A 25,011-nucleotide genomic window follows, 5' to 3' on the forward strand; every position below is an offset into this window, starting at 1 on the left:
GTTTGGCCTTAGCGGTAGACCTGAGTCTGAATCACTGAAATTCAGGTGTGGATTATTCAGTACTTTCCTTTTGGAAGATCAAATGGAAATTGAGTACGATATCTTGTGCTTTAATTAAAGAAGATGGAAATAAAGAAGCAAATACAAAAATCAGTATACAAAAGTCGATTGATTCCCTCTATGTGGAGGGAAGACGAGCTTGAATAAGAGAAGCATTCTGTGTTACGCTTTAATAATGGCTGGAGATCTGCCACCATGCATTTGTCAAATCCCATAGAATTTCACAGCACAAATAGTACATCTTAATGTGGCTCAGGAGTACATATAATGTCAGCTACAGTTTGTGGGTAAATTACATATTTAATTAAATAGATTAAACAATAAATAATTATATGAGCTCTGTCTGCCTGGACACAGTCCTTGCCTCTCCAACCAGTTTGCCAAGGGCTTGAATTTCTTGCTCATTATCCTCACAGTTGACATAAACCCTGGCTGCAGAGTAAAATCAATCATTTGTGGAGTTTTTAAAGTATAATGATGTGTCAATTTCAACCATGGATAAGGCCATTTAGCCTTAGTAAGGCCGATCGTATTAAGATTGTGCCTGTTTGGCAAAATTTCAAGTCATCCCACTTGATATTCAGGAAACATTTTCTCTTGAGTTTTAGGTTCAGTGGTGAGGCTCCTTCACGGACAATACATTTTCCAATTCTGAGGACAAGGCAGAGGAGGGCCCCTCTGTGAGAACTTTCATTTTGCTTCGGGAAAAGTACATTGAATCAAATATAGGAAAGACTTGCAAGGTAGCTGACAGGTTCGGCTGTTTTATCATGCTGGTGTTTTATCTTCTGGACTGCAGTAAAAGGAGCACAGCTGTGTCTATCTCTGTGTAATAACTCAGGACTTACCTGAATAAAATGTGGGGTGTTATGAGATGAACTTCTACTTCCAGTTAGAGAGGCTCCAGGGACAAAATTTCAAGAGCCTTCTGAGGGATAGAAGAGAAGAGCTCCCTTATTCTCTGATCCCAGGTAACTGCTCAGAGACAGAGGAAAGGGCTGGGGACACCCAAATGCATATACTAAGTGTCTTTGATACAGCCTCCATTTCCCTGCTAAATCTATGCAATGACACACTGAGAAATCTAGCAAGTGGGGCTGAAGATCCCTGGTGTGTCAACTCGAGGGTTGGATGGAAACAAGTGATTTTAGTGGACGTTGAAGTAAAGGGAGGTGAGCTGTGAGGAAAGAGCTGTTGAAGACTGGGGAGACTCAGAAGTTGGGGTAGAATCTCGACCAAGAATCTCACCCAAGGGGTGCAGATGCAAATCGATTTGTTAGGGCTGCATAAATGAAACAAGGGCTTTGCCAACATACTAAGTTTTTTCAACAACAGATTGTATTCTTTCAATATTTGTAAGTATTGATCTTTTGGAAAAGTTTAATGAGATTTCTTATATAATTCTGCATTCAATTTTTTCCCTGGTCACTTTGCTATTATGCATCTACATGCCACATTTTTATGAATAGATATTTTCTCAAATTTCTGAATTATTTTGCTAAAGTATGTGTTAAGAGTTTTTTCTAGAGGTCCACCTTCTTGACTCACTTTTCTGATAAGAAATCTATCAGGTTTCTTCACAGTGATTTTCAAGTTTGATAGCTCCTCAATGTGAGAAACTTAGTGTCAACTAAGAAATGAATTACCACTAAAGAATTTTCTCCTTTCAAGATGCTAACCATGTTTTGTCCAGTGAGAAATCTCACATGTGCCACAAGTGTTGCTCTATGAAGAAAGGATTTCTCATGATTTTTCATTGCATAACTTCTCCAGTAAGACGTATTTGGTATTCCAAGAGAATTCATTGCCCTTGGAAAGACTTTCCCTTCTTATTTAGCTTATGAAGGCTTTCCTCTCTTATTTTCCATTTTAGCAGCATTTTATCACTGTGTTTTCTTGTGAACATCAGGCCTGGTGCTTGGCTGAATGTTTATTCACAGAAAATACAAATAAAGGGTTCATCCAAGTAAAGTTTTCTCATGTTATTTGACAATAAATTGCAAATAAAAACATTTTAACACTGAATGCAGAGTTAGAGATTCTCTACTTGAAAGTCCCACATGTTTTAAGTTAAAGCTGTTGCTGAAGACTTTTAGTTGATTATGTTGACAGTTTCAGCTCTCTCATGTCATTTATGCTCAGATCACTAACAAGTCTTTGGTACATACATGTCATACAATTTCTCTTCCATATGAATTTATTGATGTGGACTGAAGAATAAAGGTAACTGAAGTATCTTCCATGTTGATTACAGTATTTCTTCAAAATGTTAGTCCTTTGGCATGTTCAGATGCTACAACTACAGCTGAAGTCTCTTCCACATTCCTTACCTTCGTCATTCCTAACACCGTGTCATCTAAAGTCAGAATATGTTCTGAAGATGTTTATAATTTTCTCTCCAGCGTGAATTTTCTGATGTTATTTAAGATTAGTACATTGACTGAAGGCTTTCCCACATAAATGGCATTCATATGGCTTTTCTCCAGTGTGTGTTCTCTCATGTCATCTAAGGTCGGAAGACAGACTGAAGGCCTTCCCACATAGAAGACAAGCATGTGGTTTCTCTCCAGTGTGAATTATTTTGTTTCCTCTAAAGCCAGAGCTTTGACTAAAGGCTTTCCCACTGTTATCACATTCATACCACTTTTCTCCAAGGTGAGTTCTCTCATGTCTTCGAAGGTTAAAGGATTGAATAAAGGCTTTCCCACATTGATGACACTTATATGGTCTCTCTCCTGTGTGAGTTTTCTCATGTCTTCTAAGGTGAGAACACTGAGTGAAGGCTTTTCTACATAGATGACATGTATATGGCCTCTCTCCAGTGTGAGTCATCTTGGGCCGTCTAAGGTGAAAGCAATTAGTATAGGCCTTTTCACATAGATTACATTGATATGATTTACCTTTAGTATGAATTTGTTTATGTGGTTTAGGGGACAAAAGATTACTAAGGGATTTTCCACACTGTTTGCTGACATAGGGTTTCTTTCCACTATGAGTTAACAAACACTGAATTATTGTGGAACTGTGAGTGCAATCTTCTCCCGAATCATTACATTCAAAAGGATCCTCCAGAATGAGAGAGTTCTCCTTTGGGACAAAGATTAAAAGCTCTTAATGGTTTACCCACATATATCTATACATTCATTTCACTACCTTTGAATCCTAGACCAACCATTCAGTGGTAGACCCCAGTTGAAATCTTTCCAATGTTTCTTGTGTGAAAGGAAATTAAATTTTGGGACCCCAAACTCATTTAACCAAAGGGAAAAATCAAGCTGGGAACTGGGTCACACAAACCTGCCTCCCCCTTCTGGTTCCTAAATAATATGGCTACAAGATGAAAAGCTACATGCCTCCCCCATATTTTGCCCACGAGGAAATTCCTCATGAGCTGTTAAAATTACACCATGGCAATGCAAACTGATAACTTGTCTTTACAGGTGCAGTCATCCCCAGTTCACCAGACACAAATGCATATCTGATTGTTTCCCTGCCCCATTTTGCCTATGTTGTCTTATGTAAAATGCAGCTTTCCTGCATTATTCCTCTGCCTCATTTGTTTATGTCATCTTATGTAAAAAAATCCAGATTCACTGAGCCAGAAAAATGCATGAATGACTATTTATTCTACCCACCTTTTACATGAAAATTGTGTACTTCTCAATATCCCACCCTTTCCCCTTTAAATTTGGAGCCTTCAAAATCATCTTTGGAGAAAGGCATACACCTGTCCCCTGGGTGCATGTCCTTAACTTTGGCAAATAAATCTCCTAAAATGATTGAGACTTGTCTTGTCATTTTTCTCGATTGACATTTGCATATACATTATCTCCTGCAGACACAGATATGTTCTCTTCTGTAACATCTCAACTGCAGGGTTATTGTATAATTGTGATGATATCAATATCTTTCAATGTCTGGGCATGAGCAAAGTATATGCACTTGTTCTGTTTTAGAGATCTCATGTTATGGTTTAGAACACAGGTCAATGTATTCACTAAATTCAAAGTATCCAATTTTTTTTTGCTTAGAAAGCACTTAATGCCAGCCTAATTACACTCAGATGATTGTGCTTCATTATGAACTTAACCCATTACCATGTCTTTAACTTAGATGAGTGGTGTACACAGCTATAAAACTTACCATTGTCATACTGGTGGGTGCATCTTTTCTGATGATAGGATGCATGGATATCATGTGTGTTTTCTTAAGGGCACTTTCCCTGTCTGAAACAATTGAAAAATAAATTGTTACATTGGTATTATGGTAATAAAATTGTTTGAAAAGCCCCAAGGCCCATTTACTTTTTTTCAAAAATTGACACTTAGATGTGGCAAGTGTGTCAAATGAAGAAACTACTTGAATAGAAGAAATAGATTGTACAATGTCAGCAATTAGAAAAGATTTTTAAAATTAAAATGTGAAAAGAGTTAAAATGGAGATGAGATATCAGGCAGGTAAATAGAGGGATAGTCTTCACAGGGGTATCAGGAAAAGAGTCAGCATATGAAAGTTTAACCCCAGCCAAGTACATGAATTATCCTTTTCCCAAAAGTAAAAGAAAAGAAAAAAAAAGAGGACACAAGAGTAGCATCTGACACATGAACAAAATGATAATAACATCTAAGGAATTCTGCTCCAGTAGCCTAACCTACATTTTAGAAATTATCACTCATTTAATAAAACCACTAATTAATATTCAACTGATATTATTCATTGACAAAGCACCTCCTCCTATTAGAGCACAGGACCCTGTTGCTTACCTGGATTCTGGTCTTGAAGAAATTCTCTTCCTTCCTGCCACAGCTCTTTTCCTTGCTCCAGCTGCAAAATTATATAGGATTTGCTTATCTGGTACCCTGTTAGTGGAAAGAATACATGTGTTTTGAGTTCACTGTCAATAAATGTGCATTATCACCAAGTGTAAGGCAGGCTATCAAGGAAGAATAAAAACAGTGAAGGTCAGCTCAGGCCACAAGACCTAGAACACAGAAAACTCCCCAGGATTTTTCTGACCCAACGTGAGACTAGAAAATAAATCCAAACCAAAGGTCCATCAGGAAAAGGAAATTCAAAACAGTCAGGACCTATGAATGCTGAGTCCATGCCTAAGTTCCAAGACACAATGCATAATACACAATCTTTCCAGAAAGAGAGTAATTAAATCTCTGCACAGTGTGTTTATTATTATTCTCACGCACAACAAAAAAATCATTCGATTTACAAAAATAATTGGTGTTCTATATGGAAAAGATATTGCTATTGTTTTCACTAATTGGTCTCAGCCTAAGCATAGACTAAAGCAGAAGAGTTATTTAGAAAATATTGAATTTAATACATTGAAAATATTCATCAAGTTCCCAGGTCTGTTATGAGTATTAGAGACTGAGTACCAAAGAAACCATGAAATCCTTGTCAAGACTACATTCTAATTGAGTGACAAACTAAATAAAATAAAATAAAAAGAAAGATATTTATTTGAGATAGATTTAGAGAGTTCAAACTTTTTTCAGATGAGATCTGTGAGAGAAGCAGAGAAGAGATTAGAGTGAGTTATGGGGAAGCTGTTCTAACACTTATTGAATGAATGAGCGAATGTGTGTCTACATATGTACGTGAATGTTGAGGGACTCACCGAGGGACACCAGGTGACTGATATTTTCCAGCATCACATCTCTGTACAGCTTTCTCTTGGATGTGTCCATCATGGCCCACTCTTCCTGGGTGAAGTCAATAGCTACATCTTCAAAAGTCACTTTCTTCTAAAACATCACAGACATTTTAGTTTAGACAGAGAAATCCCTTTCAATGTCCGGAAGAGGAAGGCTGAGATGACATAGCTAGAAGCTGGGTATGCAGAATACTCAGTGTTTTGAGTTCCAGCCAGTTCATTCTCAGTAGTAAGCTGGTATCTGCATTTCAGATTCACTCACAGAGATATACCCACTCTGAATCCATTAAACTTTACTATAAAGAAATATCGCATGAGGTGTGGCATAATATAACCCAGATATTTTTCAGTAATGTGTTAATCACCTCTACGTAACGAATTATAAAATTTTCACTTGAACATTCATAAATAAAATGAAATTTACCATGAATTTCAAGTAAATTACAGATTTGTCACAAGGCAAATAACCATGATTTACTACTTTTTAAGCACGACTGTGATGAAATAAATTATTTCTCTAGATGAACCACAGGTTTCTCACCAATCAAATGGTTAAAAGACCTATGATGTGTTTTGAATAATCTAATGAACTAATAGAAAATGTGTTTCCTATCTAGCAAATATTTATTAAATATAAGTCATTGGTCCCTTATTCATTAAAAAGTTAGAAAGTAATGACCCAGACTCCAGCATTCTTCAGAACTGAACAAGCTTTATGCAGAATATAGGATTCAATTCATACATATAGTCTCCCTAATGTTATATAATTCAGGTGTTCATGACAAGGCTTAAAGACAGTCTAGCAGCACAAGACAAGACCGCTGAGGCTGCTATACTGAGGAAATCTTAGTCTGATGATTCCTGTGATATGAAGCCTCCTGTTCTCAACTTTCTCTTGGCAATCCAAACATCAGTTATCATTGTTTCTCTTTTAAATTTACCTTGTCACTTCACTTGTTCAAAGATTAAAAAAGCCTCTTCATTTTTTTTTTCTAACTAGCCCTTATAAAGCGTTTCCACAGAACCCTAAATTGTACTCTATCTACTATATTCCTTCTTCTGAGTGTGCAACCATAATTAAATAATTATATTTCTTATATGTTACTTTCAGTTACCAGAAGGCAAAAAGGTTAATTACCAAAAGGTAAAATGAATAGGGATAAGAATAATAATAACTTCTTCAGTTGTCCTTTCACAAAGTTTTTAAAAGCTCAAATATATTTTATCAAACTCTTCTTTTCCCTCAACACTGCACAGCTCTTGCCCAAGTCCTATCACACTGGATTTATTGAACTCAGCTGCTAGAACATCAGACTCATTGTTGGGCTGTGATGTTCTGCTCTTCACTCATCTCTATCGCCTGTATTCATCACAATCCTAAGTCTATTTCAGCCAACAGTACAGTTAATGGGTCAATTATTTCCCTATGAGATTATAGGATGGATAGAAGAAAAAGAAATATATAAATGAAACCTCTCATATCTTTTTTGTAAATAGCCTTAATAGGGGCTGGAATAAAGTAGTGTAATATTAGAAATTATATTGATAATTTAGGAGTCTTTGACACACGATACCCAACCTAGAGTCCTGAGAAAACTTAATTGGAGGCCAGATACCGGAAAGCCTTCTGATTGCATTTGGAACACCCAGGCTGGGTGGATTTTACATAGTAAAAACAAACAAAAATAATAATAAAACTGAAACACCCATGCAAATTGGAGAAAACTGCCCATTTGCCAGCAATATGGGTATAATTTCAGTAGAAAGAGGCATCCCCTACTCACTAGTGAATGCATTGTCAGGAACTCAGTTTCTCTCTGTCTTCCTCTGGATTTCCACTTGCAGACACTTTAGGCACTAAGAAAAGCTGAGGTTGGAGAAAGAACATGTGAGACACCAGTCTTGTGCACAATTTTCAGATCAACCTGTGATGAAAAGCCAGACTTTCACTGAAGTGTGACACCAGCTGCACCACAGCCTAACCAACAGACACAAACATGCAGAGGCTTCTCCTCTTTTCCTGTGGTCAAAATTAGGAAGCCTATGACTATGGTTGCTAACCAAGAAGGAACACAGATATCTCGTGAATGAGAACATCAAAAGCATGGAGTTTTGTATGTTAATTGGCACAAGTCCAGATATTCAATTCCCTCACTGATTTTAAAACACAGGGATCCCTGACTCCATCCACATGTGGAATATGATTTCCACCTATAGATAAACACTGGGATTTCTCAGATTTTATTCTCCTAGCTTTATGCCCTAGCCGTGTTTCTCCAACACCCACCACAGCCTCCTGAAGACTTACTCCACTTTTACTTTCACTCAACTCTGACTTTTGTATTTCCCCTTGGAACTTGGAAATAATCAAGTAAGAATCTGTTCTACGGTCGAGTGTGGTGGCTCATGCCTGTAATCCCAGCACTTTGGGAGGCCAAGGCAGTTGGATCACCTGAGGTCAAGGGTTCAAGACTAGCCTGGCCAACATGGTGAAACCCCATCTCTACTAAAAATAAAAAAATTAGCTGGGTGTGGTGGTGCTTGCCTGTAATCCCAGCTACTCAGGAGGCTGAAGCAGGAGAATCTCTTGAACCCAGGAGGCAGAGATTACAGGGAGCCATGATCCCACCACTGAACTCCAACGAGGGCGACAGAGCGAGACTCTGTCTCAAAAAAAAAAAAATCTGTTTTAGGATGGGGATAATCAATTGAGGGATTTATTTCACTTAGAGGGTAAACACTCCCATCCTGCTAATCTAGCCCTTAAAATCTCCTGCATCAGAAATTAACAGGAGTACCTTGAGTCTTGGTGTTTCTTTCCTGTGTATACAGTCACAATCCTCTAGGATGCTCAGAAAATACAAAATGACGTAGGGGTGGGAGAAATTTAGCAGCTCAATCTGATATTTTACTAACGTGGTATCTAAAATTCTTGCAATCATGGTTTATATTAGTCTTTGTTAGTTGCAATATCTCTGATTATCATGATACATATTTGCTGAGAAATACTGATGTCCATGTACATATTCATACATAGATATGTAGGTATATAGGTGCATATGTTTATATGAATGTATGTGTTTGAGACAGGGGGAAACATGCATGTATTATTTCCCTGCCAAAAATATAAAAATAATTAAATATATTTTATGTACAAATGATAATTATGTGTCATAAACAAAAAATTTACTGACCCATTTGTACACGAAGTCCAGGAAAAATAAAAGGGTAACTTTGTATTAATTGTGACATTGTGCTTACAGATGTACATATACATCCTTATTTAACCCTCATAATAACCCTGCTGGTTACAGTTTATTTACAAATTTAATAAATGATCAACAGAGTTTGAAAAATATGACAAAATTACAAAATTAGAAAATGACCCAGCAATATTTTTAATTATATTCTGCCTGTCACTGCCTCTTCTTGCTTTTTGACAAAATTACTCCCCTAACCAAGGTTCTCTAAGATTCTGGGGACTCCAGTATTTAGACCCCAGTTCCCAAACATCATTGTGTCTATTTTTACTGCCACATTTAACGCACATTTACAGACTTCAACAAGCACTTTTCAATATCAACTTTTTTCTTATTCCTTGGACTATTTTCTACATCTGTTCATCAGGACTCCAGTAACATATGACTCCATCTGCCTGTCCGTTCCATGAATGTACCTGACAGTACATGTATTATGTAGTCTATAATTCAAGCAGAACAGATATTCCCTCAAAAAAATAAGATATTAGAGAAGGCCTACAAAGCTTCAGTGAAACCAGCTGTAACCCTTAATATTATTACCATGTAAGCTCTTCCTCGAATATCAAAATAAGATTTGGGCTTTAGAGAATATTTATGTGTAATTATAACCCAAACATGGATGAAAAGTAATTTAACTGGTCATATACAGACTGTGCCAGGGACAAAAAAGGACAAATATTATAAGAAAGTTAAAGCATACTTATTTCATAAAGGACTCTTGTGTGGAATCTATAAAAACTATTTCAAGATGTAGAGATTAAATATATTTTAAAACACATACATACACAAGCAATCTTTAGGAGAAACTTTTAGAAACTTATGTTATGGGTATAAAATTTTCATTAATTCATGGAAAAAAATGTATTGACAAACTTTTCACCAGAGCAGGAATAACAACTTATGTATTTGGTGACTTCAAGATGAGAGCCTGCACAGCTTAGTATCTCCCTCCAGATGTCTGTCTCTCTCTCTTTTTTTTTTTTTTTTTTTTTGGCGGAGTTTCACTCTTGTTGCCCAGGCTGGAGTGCAGTGGCGCGATCTCGGCTCACCGCAACCTCTACCTCCCGGGTTCAAGCAATTCTCCAGCCTCAGCCTCCTGAGTAGCTGGGATGACAGGCATGGGCCACCGTGCTCGGCTAATTTTGTATTTTTAATCGAGACGGGGTTTCTCCATTTTGGTCGGGCTGGTCTAAAACTCTTGACCTCAGGTGATCCGCCAGCCTCCGCCTCTCAAAGTGTTGGGATTACAGGCGTGAGCCACCGTACCTGGCCCAGATCTCTTAAAAAGTCATGAGGAAGGAGCCATTCTGCATCCTCAATATTACCTTAATATTTTAAGGGCAACCGTAAAAATTAAGAGGCCTACTTGTGACTTCCTAGCCCTTTCACGGCTATTTAGACACACCTTAGTGAAGTATTAGGAATGTATTATTAGGTCTCAAGTTCCTGGACAACAAAACCATGTTCTCCAACAGATCTTCAGTAAAAATAGCTGATGTCTATATTCTTTTGCCTGTCCTTTCCCTTCCTTTAATTCAGAACTGTAGTCTCGAAAAGTGCTATTATTTAGTAGATTCTCTCAATTGTCAACACCAGTGCTATACAATGTTGAATGACATCTCGAGTGCTAGGGAAACAGCAGCTGACATTCTAGCAATCAACAAATAGAAAAGCAAAGATCACCACAGAGTAAAAGAGAATAGATTTTTTTAAAGTATGAAACCAAAACGAATATATATCAGATTACACTATAAATGGAAAATCCTATTATCTTGACGGGATTGCAAGTCAGATTACACTATAAATGGAAAATCCTATTATCTTGACAGGATTGCAAGCCTCTCATGGCTTCCAACATCCAATATATTGAAAGCAGTTCAGGAATGGTGAAAGTGGAATGGAATTTAAAATTATTCTAAGGTTTTATGTGTGAAAGCACCATGCCCTGAAACAAAATATTTATTTTTAAAGTTCATAATGAACACTGCATACAAAGTTTGTGTAACAGGAGAGAAGAAAAATCTCACATTTTAAAAAAAGGAATATGCAACATATTTACATACAATAAAATAAAATTAAATTAAAATACAGCAATAGAAGACAGAATCTAACATCTGAAAATCAAGGGAGAAATCTATTTTAAATAAACTTGGCGCAATTTTTAAAGTACGTTATGAAAAACAATAATACCTGAATATAGTACGTAAAAGTACCAATACAATAAAGCTAAAACAATATCCATGGAAAAATTATTTGCTGTACATTATTTTAAAAAAATAATCTAAGTACTTACCTCAATAAGGTAAATGAATGAAATTTAAAAATTGCTTGAGAAAATCTGAAGGGAAATGAATATAGAGAAGAAGAATATAATTTAACTATAAACCACACAAATAGAATTTAAAAATAAGTGGTAGCCAACATGCCCGACACGATTTTCTGTGATGAAAGAAATTCTCTATATCTGCATTGTCCAATGCAGTAACTACCACACATATGCAGTTACAGAATTTCTAGTTTGGCCACGACTTTGGCTATTACTACTAAGGATATGCCATTTAGTTATTTAATTATAATTAAATTACAGTTTATAGTCACATGTGACTAGTAGTTACTATATTGGCCAATGCAGATCTAGAATCTTGGAGGAGGCAGTTAAAATAATGAGATATGGTCAAAACAGAAATGGAAAAGGCACACAAATAGTGAACACAGAATATGAGAATGGGAAGTAACAATTCACACAATAAAATGTAATAATGAGATGCTGCCTTGATGGGACAAATGTCTAATGATATACAAGGCTTGTCTTGTTACAGGTAGAAGAGCTTGAGCAGGGCAGGAGAGGGCTCTTCCCCTACCCACTAGAAATGTCAGGTGATGGCCTGTCAGTTATCACATTGCCTCTCTAAAAATGATAATTAGGCAGCACCAGAGAGAGGCCATTTCCTGATGGTCTACACCTGTTAACATCAAAAATGTGAATTAAATGCAGACCCCAGGAAGAAGCAACTTCTTGGGCATGCATGTGAAGAGACAAAAATGGCAAAGCATAATCTGGGGGCACACTCCACCGGAAAAGGAAAGAAAGCTTCAGATGGACATGCATATAACTCCCTAAACACACCGTGCATGCTCAATTTCAAAGGGTAAGGAAAGCACTGTGCATGCTGGAAACTCTCCCTAAAGGAAGAATCATGGGAAAGAGGCAAACCCGTCGCAGGATCAAGGTTAAAGGCTCTTCTCTTTTCTTTCTTGGACCTTCAGGCATCTGCTCGGGTCTCTTCCAAGAGAATTTTCCTCTCCTTCCTGTTCTAAAGCCTTTTTAAATAAACTTCCACTCCTGCTCTGAAACTTACTGCTCAGTCTCTTTTTCCGCTGTATGCCCTTCAGTCGAATTCTTTCTTCTGAGGAGGCAAGGACTGAAGTTGCTTATGGACCCATGCAGATATGCTGCCAGTAACTGGAATCTCTTCTACTGGTAACAGTATCATTGTAAGGGAATGAGGCCAGTTCACATCTCAGTGCTTGGAGAACTCACCAGAAATAAAAAGCTGGAGGATGCAGTGAACTTATCTACCTTCCAAGGCAAGTCTCACAAGCAAGCAGCAAGACTCTCTTTCCCCAAGGTCTTAAACTCTTCAGATGCTCCTTCTCTGGGAAAATGCATCCTCTGATTGGCTTCCCCTTATATATGAAAAAAATAATTAATAAACCTAATCACCACTACATTCCAAGAGACATGTCCTGATTGCACAGACACTGAATCTAATCAAAAACTTCATTCTGGAGACACTCCCTGTTCAATTTGATTGGATTTTTGAGACTACTACTAAAAACCCTCACATAAATTTGGAAACCAAAGAGTTAAGGCTATTTTGAAGGAAAAATGTGAAGATTAATTCCTTTTTTTTATTCATAAGTACTTTTGAGTGTATTATATGTACTAGAAAGCATTCGCAGTCAAGGGATACAGCAAGAAACCAGACAAACTAGAGTCTTATCTACATTCTAAAATTCTTTGGAGATAAACTGGACTTGAAAACAAATGGAAGGTGAATAGATATAAAAAGTTTCAATGTTCATCCTGATGTAAAAAAATAAAATATATTGCAGAAATGAAGTCAGGAAGTGTTATAGGGGTCATGTAGTGCTTGTAAGACCACTGGTATTGTCTGAAATTCAAGCAGGCTGCAGAAATTTGAGTAACTAAAAGGAAAGCAGATGCTAATAGAAGACAATGAAGAAAGGGCCTCAAAGATATTTCAGAGACCTTGGCTTGTGGCAGCCCCTCCCCTCAAAGGCCTGGAGGCCTAGGAGGGAAGAATGATTTTGTGGGCTGGGCCCAGTGCAGGTGCAGGACAGTGCTCACAGCATTCTAGGTCTCAGCCACTCCAGCTCCAGCCATGGCTAAAAGGGCCCCAGACATAGTTTGGGCCACTGCTTTAAAGGGTGCAAGCCACAAGCCTTGGCAATTTCCATGGGGTGTTAAACCTGCAGGTGCACAAAGTACAGGAGTACACTGCTGATAAAGATATACCTGAGACTGGGCAATTTACAAAAGAAAGAGGTTTAATTGGACTCACAGTTCCACATGGCTGGGGGGAGGCAGAAGGCAAAAGGCATGTCTTACATCACAGCAGGCAAGTGAGAGAATGACAGCCAAGCAAAATTGGTTTCCCCTTTTCAAACCATCAGAACGCATGAGACTTATTCACTACCACAAGAACAGCATGGGAGAAACTGCCCCCATGATTCAGTTATCACCACTGGGTCCCCCCACAACATGTGGAAATTATGGGAGTACAATTTGAGGTGAGATTTGGGTGGGGACACAGAGCCAAACCATATCAGAAGCCTTTGCCTGGATTTCTAAAGATGTATGGAAAAGCCTGTATGTCCAGTAGAAGTCTGCTGGGGTGGAGACTTCATGGTGAATGTCTACTACAGCAGTGCAGATGGAAAATGTGGGGTTGGAGTCCCCACAGAGTCCACACTGGGGCACTGCCTAGTGCAGCTCTGAGAAGACAGCCAACATCCTCCAGACCCTAGAATGGTAGATCCACTGACAGCTTGCACCCTGAGCCTGGAAAAGCTGCAGGCACTCAACACTGGCCCTTGACAGCAGCCATGGGGACTGACCCTTGTATCCAAAAGAAAATAAATTGTTCTACCATAAAGACGTGTGCACTCATATATTTATTATAGCATTATTTGCGATAGCAAAGACATGGAATCAACTTAGATGCCCATCAATGTTACAGTGGATAGAGAAAATGCAGTATATGTACACCATGGAATACTACACAACCATAAAAAAATTATGTCCTTTGCACCAACATGGATGCAGCTGGAGGCCATTATTCTAAAATAATGCAGGAAGAGAAAACCAAATACCATATGTTCTTAGTTATAAGTGAGAACAAAGCATTGGTTACACATGGAAGTAAAGATCGGAACAACAGATACTGGGGACTACTAGAGGGGGAAGGGAAGGTGGGGACAAAAGCCTGAAAAACTATCTATTGGGTATTATGTTTTCTATCTGGGTTACAAGATCATTCATACTCCTCAGCATCACACAATGTGCCAATGTAAAAACCTGCACATGCATCTCCTGAATCTAAAATAAAAGTTGAATTTTTTTTTAAATGGGCAAAGATCTGGCTAACACGGTGAAACCCTGTCTCCACTAAAAAAAAAAAAAAATACAAAAAATACAAAAAATTAGCTGGGCATGGTGGCGGGTGCCTGTAGTCCCAGCTACTTGGGAGGCTGAGGCAGGAGAATGGCATGAACCTGGGAGGTGGAGCTTGCAGTGAGCCAAGATCACGCCACTGCACTCCAGCCTGGGTGACAAAGCGAGACTCCATCTCAAAAAAAAAAAAAAAAAAAAGGGCAAAGATCTGAGTAGACATTTCCCAGAAGAACAGATACAAATGGCCAACAAATATATGAAAAAATTCTTACCGTCTCTAATCATCAGGGGGATGTAAATAAAAAAACCACCATGAAATATCATCTGATACCTCTTAGAATAGCTATTATCAAAAAGATGTATAACAAGTATTAGTGAGGATGTGGAGAAAAGATAACCCTTGTATACTTGTGGTGGAAATACAAATTACTATGTCCATTTCAGATAATAGTATGAAGGTTTCTCAAAAATTTTTTAAATAAAACTACCTGCTGATGAGGCTGTTGAGATATAAGAACACTTTTACACTGTTGGTGGGAATGTAAATTAGTTCAACTATTGTGGAAGACAGTATGGTGATTCCTCAAAGACCTACAACCAGAAATACCACTTGACCCAGCAATCCCATTACTGGGTATATACCAAAAGGAATATAAATCATTCTATTATAAAGATACATGCATACATATGTTCATTGCAGCACTATTCACAATAGCAAAGACATGGAATCAACCCAAATGTCCATCAGTGACAGACTGGATAAAGAAAATGTGGTACGTATACACCATGGAATACTATGCAGCCGTAAAAAGGAATGAGATCATGTTCTTTGCAGGAACATGAATGGAGCTGGAAGCCATTATCCTCAGCAAACTAACCCATGAACAGAAAACCAAACACTGCACGTTCTAACTTATAAGTGGGAGCAGAACAGTGAGAACACATGGATATTAGGAGGGGAACAACACACACTGGGGACTGTTGGGAGGCAGGTGGAGGAAGAGTATCAGGATAAATGGCTGATACATATATGCAATGGAATATTATTCAGTGTTACATAATAATGAAACCCTGTCATTTGTGACAACATGGATGGACTTGGAGGGCATTACGTTATATGAAATAGGCCAACCACAGAATGACAATTACTATATGATTTCACTTGTATTTGAAATCTAAAATAGAAAAACTCACAAAAGCAGAGAGTAGAATGGTGGTTGCCAGGGGCCGTGGTGCTGGGGAAATGGGTAGATGTGGTTACAGCACAAAGTTTCAGATATACCACATAAGTAAGTTCTGGAGGTCTCGTTTACAGCATAGTGCTTACAGCTAAGAATACTGTATTACACACTTAAAATTTGCTAAAAGGATAGATTTTGTATTCTTACCAATATTTGTTACCAAAAAAATAATAATAATAAAGGGGGGGGACTTAGGGAGGTGAAGGATATGTTTATAATCTTGATGGTAGTGATGTGTTCATGGTGTATACTTATCCCCAAACTCACTGAGATGTACACCTTAAATATGTACAGCTTTTTAAATGTAATCATAGCTCAACAAAGTCAGTTAAAAAAAAACAAGAGGGGTTGGTTAAAATACTTAAAAGGAGGGGTAGATGCTCCCTTGTTTTTCTCTCTTGGCTTTTTTCCTTCCTGCTGCCTGGAATTCAAAAATGATAGGTGGGGATTTGGCAGCCAAACTAGAGCCTCTTCTAAAGTATAGCAGAACAGAGAGCTGGAAGGGGCCTGCATCCCTAATGAATTTGGCAGGTATCTGTATTAGCCATGGTAGGTAGAACTATAGATTTAAGTGAGGGAGAAACCAACTTCTGCCTTGTTTAAGCCAGTTTGTTCAGACATTAATTTTATATACATATAGAGAACATATGCTCCTTTATGAGTAGGAAAAATGTTTATGCCATATGGTCCGTGATGGGTGTTCAACAATGTAGGATGAGGCTGATTATGATGACAATGGTGACAAATAGCATGAAATAATAAGCAATGAAAAAAAGATGGCCTAATAGTTCTGTATGGTTACTTTATTTAAAGATTCTGCTGCTAATATCATTCAATGTATTTGTATGCTGGTGGGAGTTTTATTAGATGTAGACTAAGAAAGTTTACATTATTTAATGAAAAATACTTGACCACCTCTCCCTCTCCCTCCCTCTCCCCCTCCCCCTCCCCTCCCCCTCTCCCTCTCCCTCTTTCCACGGTCTCCCTCTGATGCCGAGCCAAAGCTGGACTGTACTGCTCCATCTCCGCTCACTGCAACCTCCCTGCCTGATTCTCCTGCCTCAGCCTGCCGAGTGCCTGCGATTGCAGGCACGTGCAGCCACGCATGACTGGTTTTCGTATTTTTTTGGTGGAGACTGGGTTTCGCTCTGTTGGCCGGGCTGGTCTCCAACTCCTAACCACGAGTGATCTGCCAGCCTCAGCCTCCCGAGGCGCCGGGATTGCAGACAGAGTCTTGTTCACTCAGTGCTCAATGTTGCCCAGGCTGGAGTGCAGTGGCGTGATCTCGGCTCACTACAACCTCCACCTCCAAGCCGCCTGCCTTGGCCTCCCAAAGTGCCAAGATTGCAGCCTCTGCCCAGCCACCACCCCGTCTGGGAAGTGAGGAGTGTCTCTGTCTGGCCGCCCATCATCTGGGATGTGAGGAACCCCTCTGCCCGGCTGCCCAGTCTGGGAAGTGAGGAGTGCCTCTCCCCGGCCGCCATCCCGTCTAGGAAGTGAGGAGCGTCTCTGCCCAGCCGCCCATGTCTGAGATGTGGGGAGCACCTCTGCCCCGCCACCCCGTCTGGCATGTGAGGAGCACCTCTGCCCGGCAGCCGCCCCATCCGGGAAGTGAGGAGCGTCTCCGCCCGGCAGCCGGCCCGTCCGGGAGGTGGGGGGCAGCCCCCACCCATCCAGCCTCCCCGTCCGGGAGGGAGGCGGGGGGCAGCCCCGGGGGCAGCCCCCGCCCGGCCAGCCGCCCCGTCCGGGAGGGAGGTGGGGGGCCGCCTCCGCCCGGCCGCCGCCCCGTCTGGGAGGTGGGGGGCGCCTCTGCCCGGCCGCCCCTTCTGGGAAGTGAGGAGCCCCTCTGCCCGGCCGCCACCCCGTCTGGGAGGTGTACCCAACAGCTCATTGAGAATGGGCCATGATGACGATGGCGGTTTTGTCGAATAGAAAAGGGGGAAATGTGGGGAAAAGATAGAGAAATCAGATTGTTGCTGTGTCTGTGTAGAAAGAAGTAGATTTAGGAGACTCCATTTTGTTCTGTACTAAGAAAAATTCTTCTGCATTGGGATGCTGTTGATCTATGACCTTACCCCCAACCCGGTGCTCTCTGAAACATGTTTTGTGTCCACTCAGGGTTAAATGGATTAAGGGCGGTGCAAGATGTGCTTTGTTAAACAGATGCTTGAAGGCAGCATGCTCGTTAAGAGTCATCACCACTCCCTAATCTCAAGTAACCAGGGACACAAACACTGCGGAAGGCCGCAGGGTCCTCTGCCTAGGAAAACCAGAGACCTTTGTTCACTTGTTTATCTGCTGACCTTCCTTCCACTACTGTCCTATGACCCTGCCAAATCCCCCTCTGCAAGAAACACCCAAGAATGATCAATAAAAACAACAACAACAAACAACAAAAAATACTAGACCAATTTTAAAAAAAATAAAAATATCATGAGATGGAACTAAGCATCTGTATTGCAAAGTAACTCTCCCAGTTGATTTTCTGCATAGTAATGATTGAGAATCCCCTGATCTAGATCCAACAGATCTCGACCTTTATAGACGCTATCAAGGAAGCACCTAAGGAAGACAATTTTCCTGACTATATCCATACCTCCAGTTAGTAATAGATCTAGAGATCTAGAATCCAAATCCAGACCTCCTGCCTCCATGTGCGGTGGTCTTTCACTGTTGTTTTGTTCCACTTGGTGAAGAGGATTTGAGAATAAATAGCCACATGATTCAACTCCCTCCTCAGTTCTGAGTAATATAGTCTTGTCCTAGCAAGCAAGAAGCTCATACAGTAGTGGATGAGGCAAATATACATTCACTAATCTAACATACAAGGCAGTAAGTACTGTAACATAAACAAAGCACTTTGGACTTTCAGACCAGGAGAAAGTGGGGTGATTAATTCTTAGCAGGGCAAGTAAAGTCTGGGAAGTGTTCACTAACAAAATGTCTGGTCATTAATGAAACCAACTGGTTTCTCAACACAGTCTAATTTATTGTAACAATATAAATGGTTGTTTGTTCATAAACTTTCATCTTTTGCCAAAATGTTTGTAGCTTATGTCCCCATTTAACAAGGTTTTATGGCCAAAACTGTGCACCCACATCATACTAATGAACTGGCTGTCCAATAAAAAAAGGACTCTCAGTCTTCCCATAAAAGCAATTTTGCATGCATAGAACACGTCTATCTATGAATATGCCTAATGAGGTACACAAAGACTCTTATTATCCAAACAGAGACATTCCACTGGTGCTAGACAGCCACAGATGGAAGTTTTCTCTGCCTCCTGGAAATGAAGACAAACTTTTTTCTTTCTTCAGCCATGAGGATTGCTGTCCTCCTCTTCGCCATTTTCTTCTTTATGAGCCAAGTTCTACCAGGTAACAAAATAAACTTGGTAAGAGTAGAGTGCCTAACACCTTACAGGGATTCAATACTCAAAGAGAAATCACCATCACCTATAACCAGAAAAGGGGGTCTCATAGGAAATCTGGAAGACTCATTGGCTGAGAGGCCTGCAGCCATCTAATTCATTAATTCTCCATAGCAACTCAGTTAAATGAAGTCAATGGTGTTTCAAGTCTTTGAAACCCTCTTATTCCATCTCCAAATTAGGCAAGTTTACTAGCAGTTACTAGACATCAAAAATTAAAAATCAGGCATTATTCTACTAAATCTTGGTCTCCAAAGCTCCTCTAGTTTCCTTCAGCAACAGTTAGTTTTCCTAAGAACTGGCATAAGAGCTATGCCAAAGCTGTGGTAGGCTCAGACAGAAGGGATTGGTGGAAGAAGTCTCTTTGAAAATATTATTATAATCTAAGAAATCTTTAACCTATTGCTCCCCAATACTGTTGGTCACTGGGGCTTGACTTTTCCCCTTAAGGCTCCATCTCCATCCCTGGCTTTCCCTCTTCCTTCTCAGCATCTAGTCTTGTAATGTAGAATTTAAACACAGGAACCAGGGATGACCCCACACCAGGGCATAGCCTACTGCATTCAGCATGCAAACATTAATCACAGGTATAAGGCCCCTTGCACAGACATGCTTTGGAGAAGTGTGTCTAGGACTTCTTGGATTTGCCCATGGTGGTTACCAGACACCCAAAATAGATCCAAAAATTTTCTGGAACTCCTGAACATGTGTATTCAAGGATGAATAAGCAACTTATTGCCTCTATTTTTGCTGTTTTATAGAGAAAAAAATTAAGGCCCTGGAAACTGAAGTGCTTTTCTCAACAGTGGGGTAAATGTCAGAGTCAACACTTTGTTTTAATATCCTGGCTTTCCCTAATACATCCCACCCTGGAGTTCTGTTGTGCCGTTCCTTTGTGTGACTTCCTAAAGCCTGAAAAAAGGTGATACCATATCCAATTATATTAACTCGGTAGCACACAACATCGGGGACTGACTTATAAGATTATTATCCTTGTGGCATTACTGAATTCCTAGTACTTGTTAAATAGTCACCCTGGCTAAATACATGGGTTTGATTTTTTTAACCAGTTAAAAATATTTTAAAATATGTGTCTTACATATATAACCCCAGAAAATCAATGCTTTTAATCAAGGTTTAAAAATTCCAAATTTGGATAAACAAATTTTTTTTGTTGTTTTCATTGTCACTCAATCAAAATAGAAGCAACTAATTGGATAGAACAGCACAGGCAGAAGCATTACTCACAGTCAAAAATGGGATGCAACAAGACTGGAGAAGAAAACACAGGATGGTGCTAAAGAATGCAGCCTAATGAAAGGTGGCACCTCCTCTGGATGTCCTTAGGTAGACATTGAAGCAGAACTGCAAACTTTTTGTAGAAGGCTAGAGAAGAGAGGAGGACACAGAGAGAGGGCAAGAGTGGAAAATAGAATGAGGCTCAGAATACCAAGCCTTAGTGCCATCCCTATCATCTGTCTCACTCCATCACTGGGTGATCTTGAGCAAGTTTCTTTCTTTCCGTCAGCTTATTTCCTCATCTTTAAGGTAAGCGACTAGACAAGACAGCCTATGATGTTCATTGTAACTCTAGCTTTTGTTCCTAAAGCAAATAGCTGGAAAAGACATAGTGTCCACAATATGCAATACACAAGGTTTACAAGCAAAGAACAAATGAAAACAAAAGATTTTTAAAATCCCTAATGTTACTTGAATTCTTGTAAATGAACAATGGTACATCATAATTTTAAAAAGCCCTTTGTAATTTCAATTTTTTAAAATAATTTCAACCTTTATTTTAGATTCAGGGAGTGCATGTGCAGATTTGTTACATGGGTATATTGTGTGATATTGAGGTTTGGGGTATGAATAACTCTGTCACGCAGGTAGGGTGTACCTAAAGGGTAGCTTTTCAGACTTTACTCCCTCTCCCTCCCCTCCTGGTAAGTCCCAATCTCTCTTGTTCCCATTTTTATGTCCATGTGCACTTATTGCTCGGCCCCCCCTTATAACTGAGAATATGTGGTATTTGGCTTCCTGTTCCTGAGATAATTTGCTTAGAATAAAGTCCTCCAGCTGCATCCATGTTACTGAAAAAGACACAGTTTTGTTCTTTTTATGGCTGCATAGTATTCCATGACATATATGTACTACATTTGCTTTATTCAATCCACTGTTGATGAACACCTAGTTTGATTCCATACCTTTGCTACTGTGAATACCACTGTGATGAACATACAAATTTAGGTCTTTTTACAAGACTGATTTATTTTCCTTTGGATATACACCCAGTAGTGAGATTACTGGGTCAAATGGTAGTTCTGTATTAAGTTTCTTGAAAAGTGGTTTGAAAATATAATGCTCAATAGAATCAGGTATAGTAACATAGTACACATGATTCAAAGACCTGTGAACCGAGAGTAACAACAAATTTCTGCACAAACATATTGCAAGTTAGAAAACAGCTGTATTTTAATCAATTATTCCACAATCATTTACTGAATAGCTATTATAAGCCAAGACTTTAATCAGATTCTGGAATATACATACAGAGGAGAATAAGATATGATTCCTGCCCTCAAGAAATTCATTATCAAGAATTGAGGTCAGATGAGAAAACACCACCCGTAGTAGAATGCAAGAAGTACTACCACAGAGGGATGTTCAAGAGTGATTTATCACATATCACAAGACAGGTCAGTGGTTCATCCTCTACACTATACTAATCTCTTATGACTCTTCCAGCTGCAAAGGGCCAATTTTAGCACAAGGCCAGTGGGCTTGGGTACTACTATACGTAGTAGCTGACTACTTACAGATAAAAGGAAGAGATGGAAAGCTCAGGGATCAAAAAACTCAGATTTCAGCTTGTTTCTACTAAGTGACCAACATCTAGAATTATCATTGTCTTCAAAAAAGCATGACCTTTATTTCCCAATTTGCATTATAGATATAAATATGATATTGCATATATTTGGTCTTCACATCAAGCCACTAACTGCTTTGTGACCACTGAAAAGTTAAATGGAACCTAATGCATTTGGATTTCAGTTCAGTTAAATAGGCATTTATTGAATGTTTATTAAAATTGCTGTACTGATTGAAAGCTATTCTAGAATTGGCTTTTGTGTTCCAGAATAGAAAAAAAAAAGTGCTGGTTTTTATACCTCTCTTATTGCCAAGAAGTTGTCATGGAAAAGGTGCTCTGTGTTACATACAAAGGCTGCTCAGAATTAAAACACTTTTCAAACTAAATACCTCAGTGTGTGTGGCCTATCCCCAGAGCAGTGATATCTTAGGACATAAATGAAATACTATACAATGTTTTCAACAAGTATAGTTTTTCAGCCTTTAAGAAGACCTTGAATGTTTCACTCTTAATATATGCAATGGTTTCTAGAGAAAAATTGCAACCTCAAATACCCGTGCCAGAGATATAAGTAGTGAGTGAAGTCTCAGGGTGTAACAAGTACTGGCACAGATATATTTGTGTATTAAACACATAGGAATATTGTTCCCTTCCACAGGAAAAATATCCTCTCTAACAATTAAAGTATATTGTCTTTTAGGTCTATATTTCAGTTCTACTTTTGAAAGATACATCTATTATAATCTATCATATAGAGTGTGTGTTTGTGTGTGTGTGTGTGTGTCTGTGTGTGTAGAAATAAAAAGAGATGAACCAAAAGAGATTTTCTTCTCTTTCGCTCCAGGAAAATCCATAGTGCAAGACATTAAATTTTTTTAAAAGGCTGAAATCTCCCATCAGTGTTAGAAGATAATAAGGAAGAAATAAACTGAAACTTGCATGCTCTAGAACTTGTAAAGGGGAGCGGGCTACTCACCTCCAGCCTTTTGTCATGTAGGTGCACCCAATATTCTCAGATTTTTCAAGAACACCAAAAAATCCAAATCTTTGTGTGACAGCAGATTTTTAAGTGTTTAAGAAATCAAATCACACACACACACACACACACACACAAATCCACACAAGATTATTTTCAAGCACTGCCCCCTACATCCATGTAATTCAACACAAAGTAAAGAAAGACTGGTGAATGGTTACAATAACCCTCTTCTTCATGTAGCCAGGGGCAAATTCAAGGAGATCTGTGAACGTCCAAATGGCTCCTGTCGGGACTTTTGCCTTGAAACAGAAATCCATGTTGGGAGATGTTTAAATAGCCAACCCTGCTGCCTGCCTCTGGGGCATCAACCAAGAATTGAGAGCACTACACCCAAAAAGGACTGAAGCCTGTTGTTTTCTGGAGGTTTTATGTTCTCTTTTTTCTCTCTCCCTCTCTCTGTCTCCCTGTCTCCCTTTCCCTCTCTCCATTTTTCTCACAGGGATTTTTATTGAATCCTCAAAAAAGAATAAACCAAAACCAACCAGCACAAAACTCTTTTAAAAGTTTATATTACTGGCTGGGTGCGGTGACTCATGCCTGTAATCCTAGCACTTTGGGAGGCCAAGGTGGGTGGATCATGAGGTCAGGAGATCAAGACCATTCTGGCCAACATGGTGAAACCCTGTCTCTTTTAAAAATACAAAAATTTAGCCAGGCATGGTGGCAGGCACCTGTAATCCCAGCTACTCAGGAGGCTGAAGCAGAATCGCTTGAACCCATGAGGTGGAGGCTGCAGTGAGCCGAGATCCTGACACTGCACTCCAGCCTGGGAGACAGAGAAAGACACTGTCTCAAAAAAAAAAAAAGAAAGAAAGAAATAAGTTTATATTACATGTTATGACTTGATTACTGTTTGGTTTCCAGTATCTTTCTATCCCATCTAGATGAGCTCTTAGTTGAAAATGACCTGCAGCAGGGTGGGGGAACTTTCACCATACCTATTGCTTTTGTCTCGCACTGTAACCCTTCACCCTGAGTGTGGGAAGACCACTCCCCTTTTTTACTGGGAAAATGCACCATCCTATTCCATGCAGCCTTGCAGGGGTCTGTCTCTCCCTGATAAAGGTGCAGCACATGGGAAAATTACACAATCACGTCAACCAGACTTCACCAGAAATCTAAATTATAAAAAGAGGTGCACTCAGATTAAAGGCAATTTCTTCAGCACCCTTTTCAAAGGCAATTCCCTGGGTCTGTACCTGTATGCCTGGCCAAGATTCAGGGAATTCCTTTAGTCCCCAGCTTTTTCTGGGCATAATCATTCAGCATTTTCTTCCATCTTTTAAAACACTGCATTGGCTTCCTAAGGCTGCTATCAAAAATTACAACAAACTTAGTGGCTTAAAGCAACACAAATGCATTATCTGACAGTTCTATAGGCTGCAGGTTTCAGATGGATCTCAGCGGGCCAACATCAAGGTGTCAGCAGGGCTGAGCTTTCTTCTGGAAGCTCTGCAGTTTTCTTCCTGCACCTTTATCCCAGCAATGGCAGGTTAGTCCTGTGCACCATAGCTTCCTTCATCCATTTTCAAAGCCAGCAAAGGAGCGTTGAGTCCTCACATTCCATCATTCTGAATTCTTCTTCTCCCCACTGTTCCATTTTTTAGGACTCATGATTACATTGGGCCCACCTGGATGATCTAAGATAATCTCCCTATTTTAAGGTCAGCTGATTAACAGCCTTAATTTCACATGAAACCTCAATTTCCCTTTGCCTTACAAGGTGGCATATTCACAGGACC

The 25,011-nt window shown here is 39.4% G+C and overlaps 1 protein-coding gene, 1 long non-coding RNA gene and 1 pseudogene across 5 annotated transcripts in view; 1 reads left to right on the forward strand and 2 right to left on the reverse strand.

Annotated features, from left to right (window-relative positions):
• The window catches only part of XNDC1N-ZNF705EP-ALG1L9P (XNDC1N-ZNF705EP-ALG1L9P readthrough), a 123,614-nt gene that overhangs the window by 8,969 nt on the left and 89,634 nt on the right, over nt 1-25,011 (reverse strand). For 2 of the 3 annotated variants that reach the window (NR_172894.1, NR_172895.1), the window contains 4 exons: nt 7,516-7,598; nt 5,696-5,822; nt 4,824-4,919; nt 4,204-4,286 (listed from right to left, as the gene is read on the reverse strand). This is a non-coding gene — a long non-coding RNA (XNDC1N-ZNF705EP-ALG1L9P readthrough). Of the gene's footprint in view, nt 1-4,203; nt 4,287-4,823; nt 4,920-5,695; nt 5,823-7,515; nt 7,599-11,284; nt 11,330-12,350; nt 12,679-25,011 lie in introns of all 3 variants that reach the window. The other variant, NR_172893.1, reaches the window with a different exon arrangement.
• Nucleotides 90-7,599, reverse strand: ZNF705EP (zinc finger protein 705E, pseudogene; annotated as a pseudogene). The gene is made up of 5 exons (NR_172892.1): nt 7,516-7,599; nt 5,696-5,822; nt 4,824-4,919; nt 4,204-4,286; nt 90-3,147 (listed from the first exon to the last, which is right to left on the reverse strand). The product of NR_172892.1 is annotated as a zinc finger protein 705E, pseudogene (transcript).
• Nucleotides 19,251-23,761, forward strand: DEFB108B (defensin beta 108B). The gene is made up of 2 exons (NM_001002035.2): nt 19,251-19,308; nt 23,450-23,761. Exons 1-2 carry the CDS (start codon nt 19,251-19,253, stop codon nt 23,611-23,613), a joined length of 222 nt encoding a protein of 73 aa, NP_001002035.1. The 3' UTR covers nt 23,614-23,761.

This window comes from Homo sapiens, chromosome 11, assembly GCF_000001405.40.
Source record: "Homo sapiens chromosome 11, GRCh38.p14 Primary Assembly".
Taxonomy (NCBI): domain Eukaryota; kingdom Metazoa; phylum Chordata; class Mammalia; order Primates; family Hominidae; genus Homo; species Homo sapiens.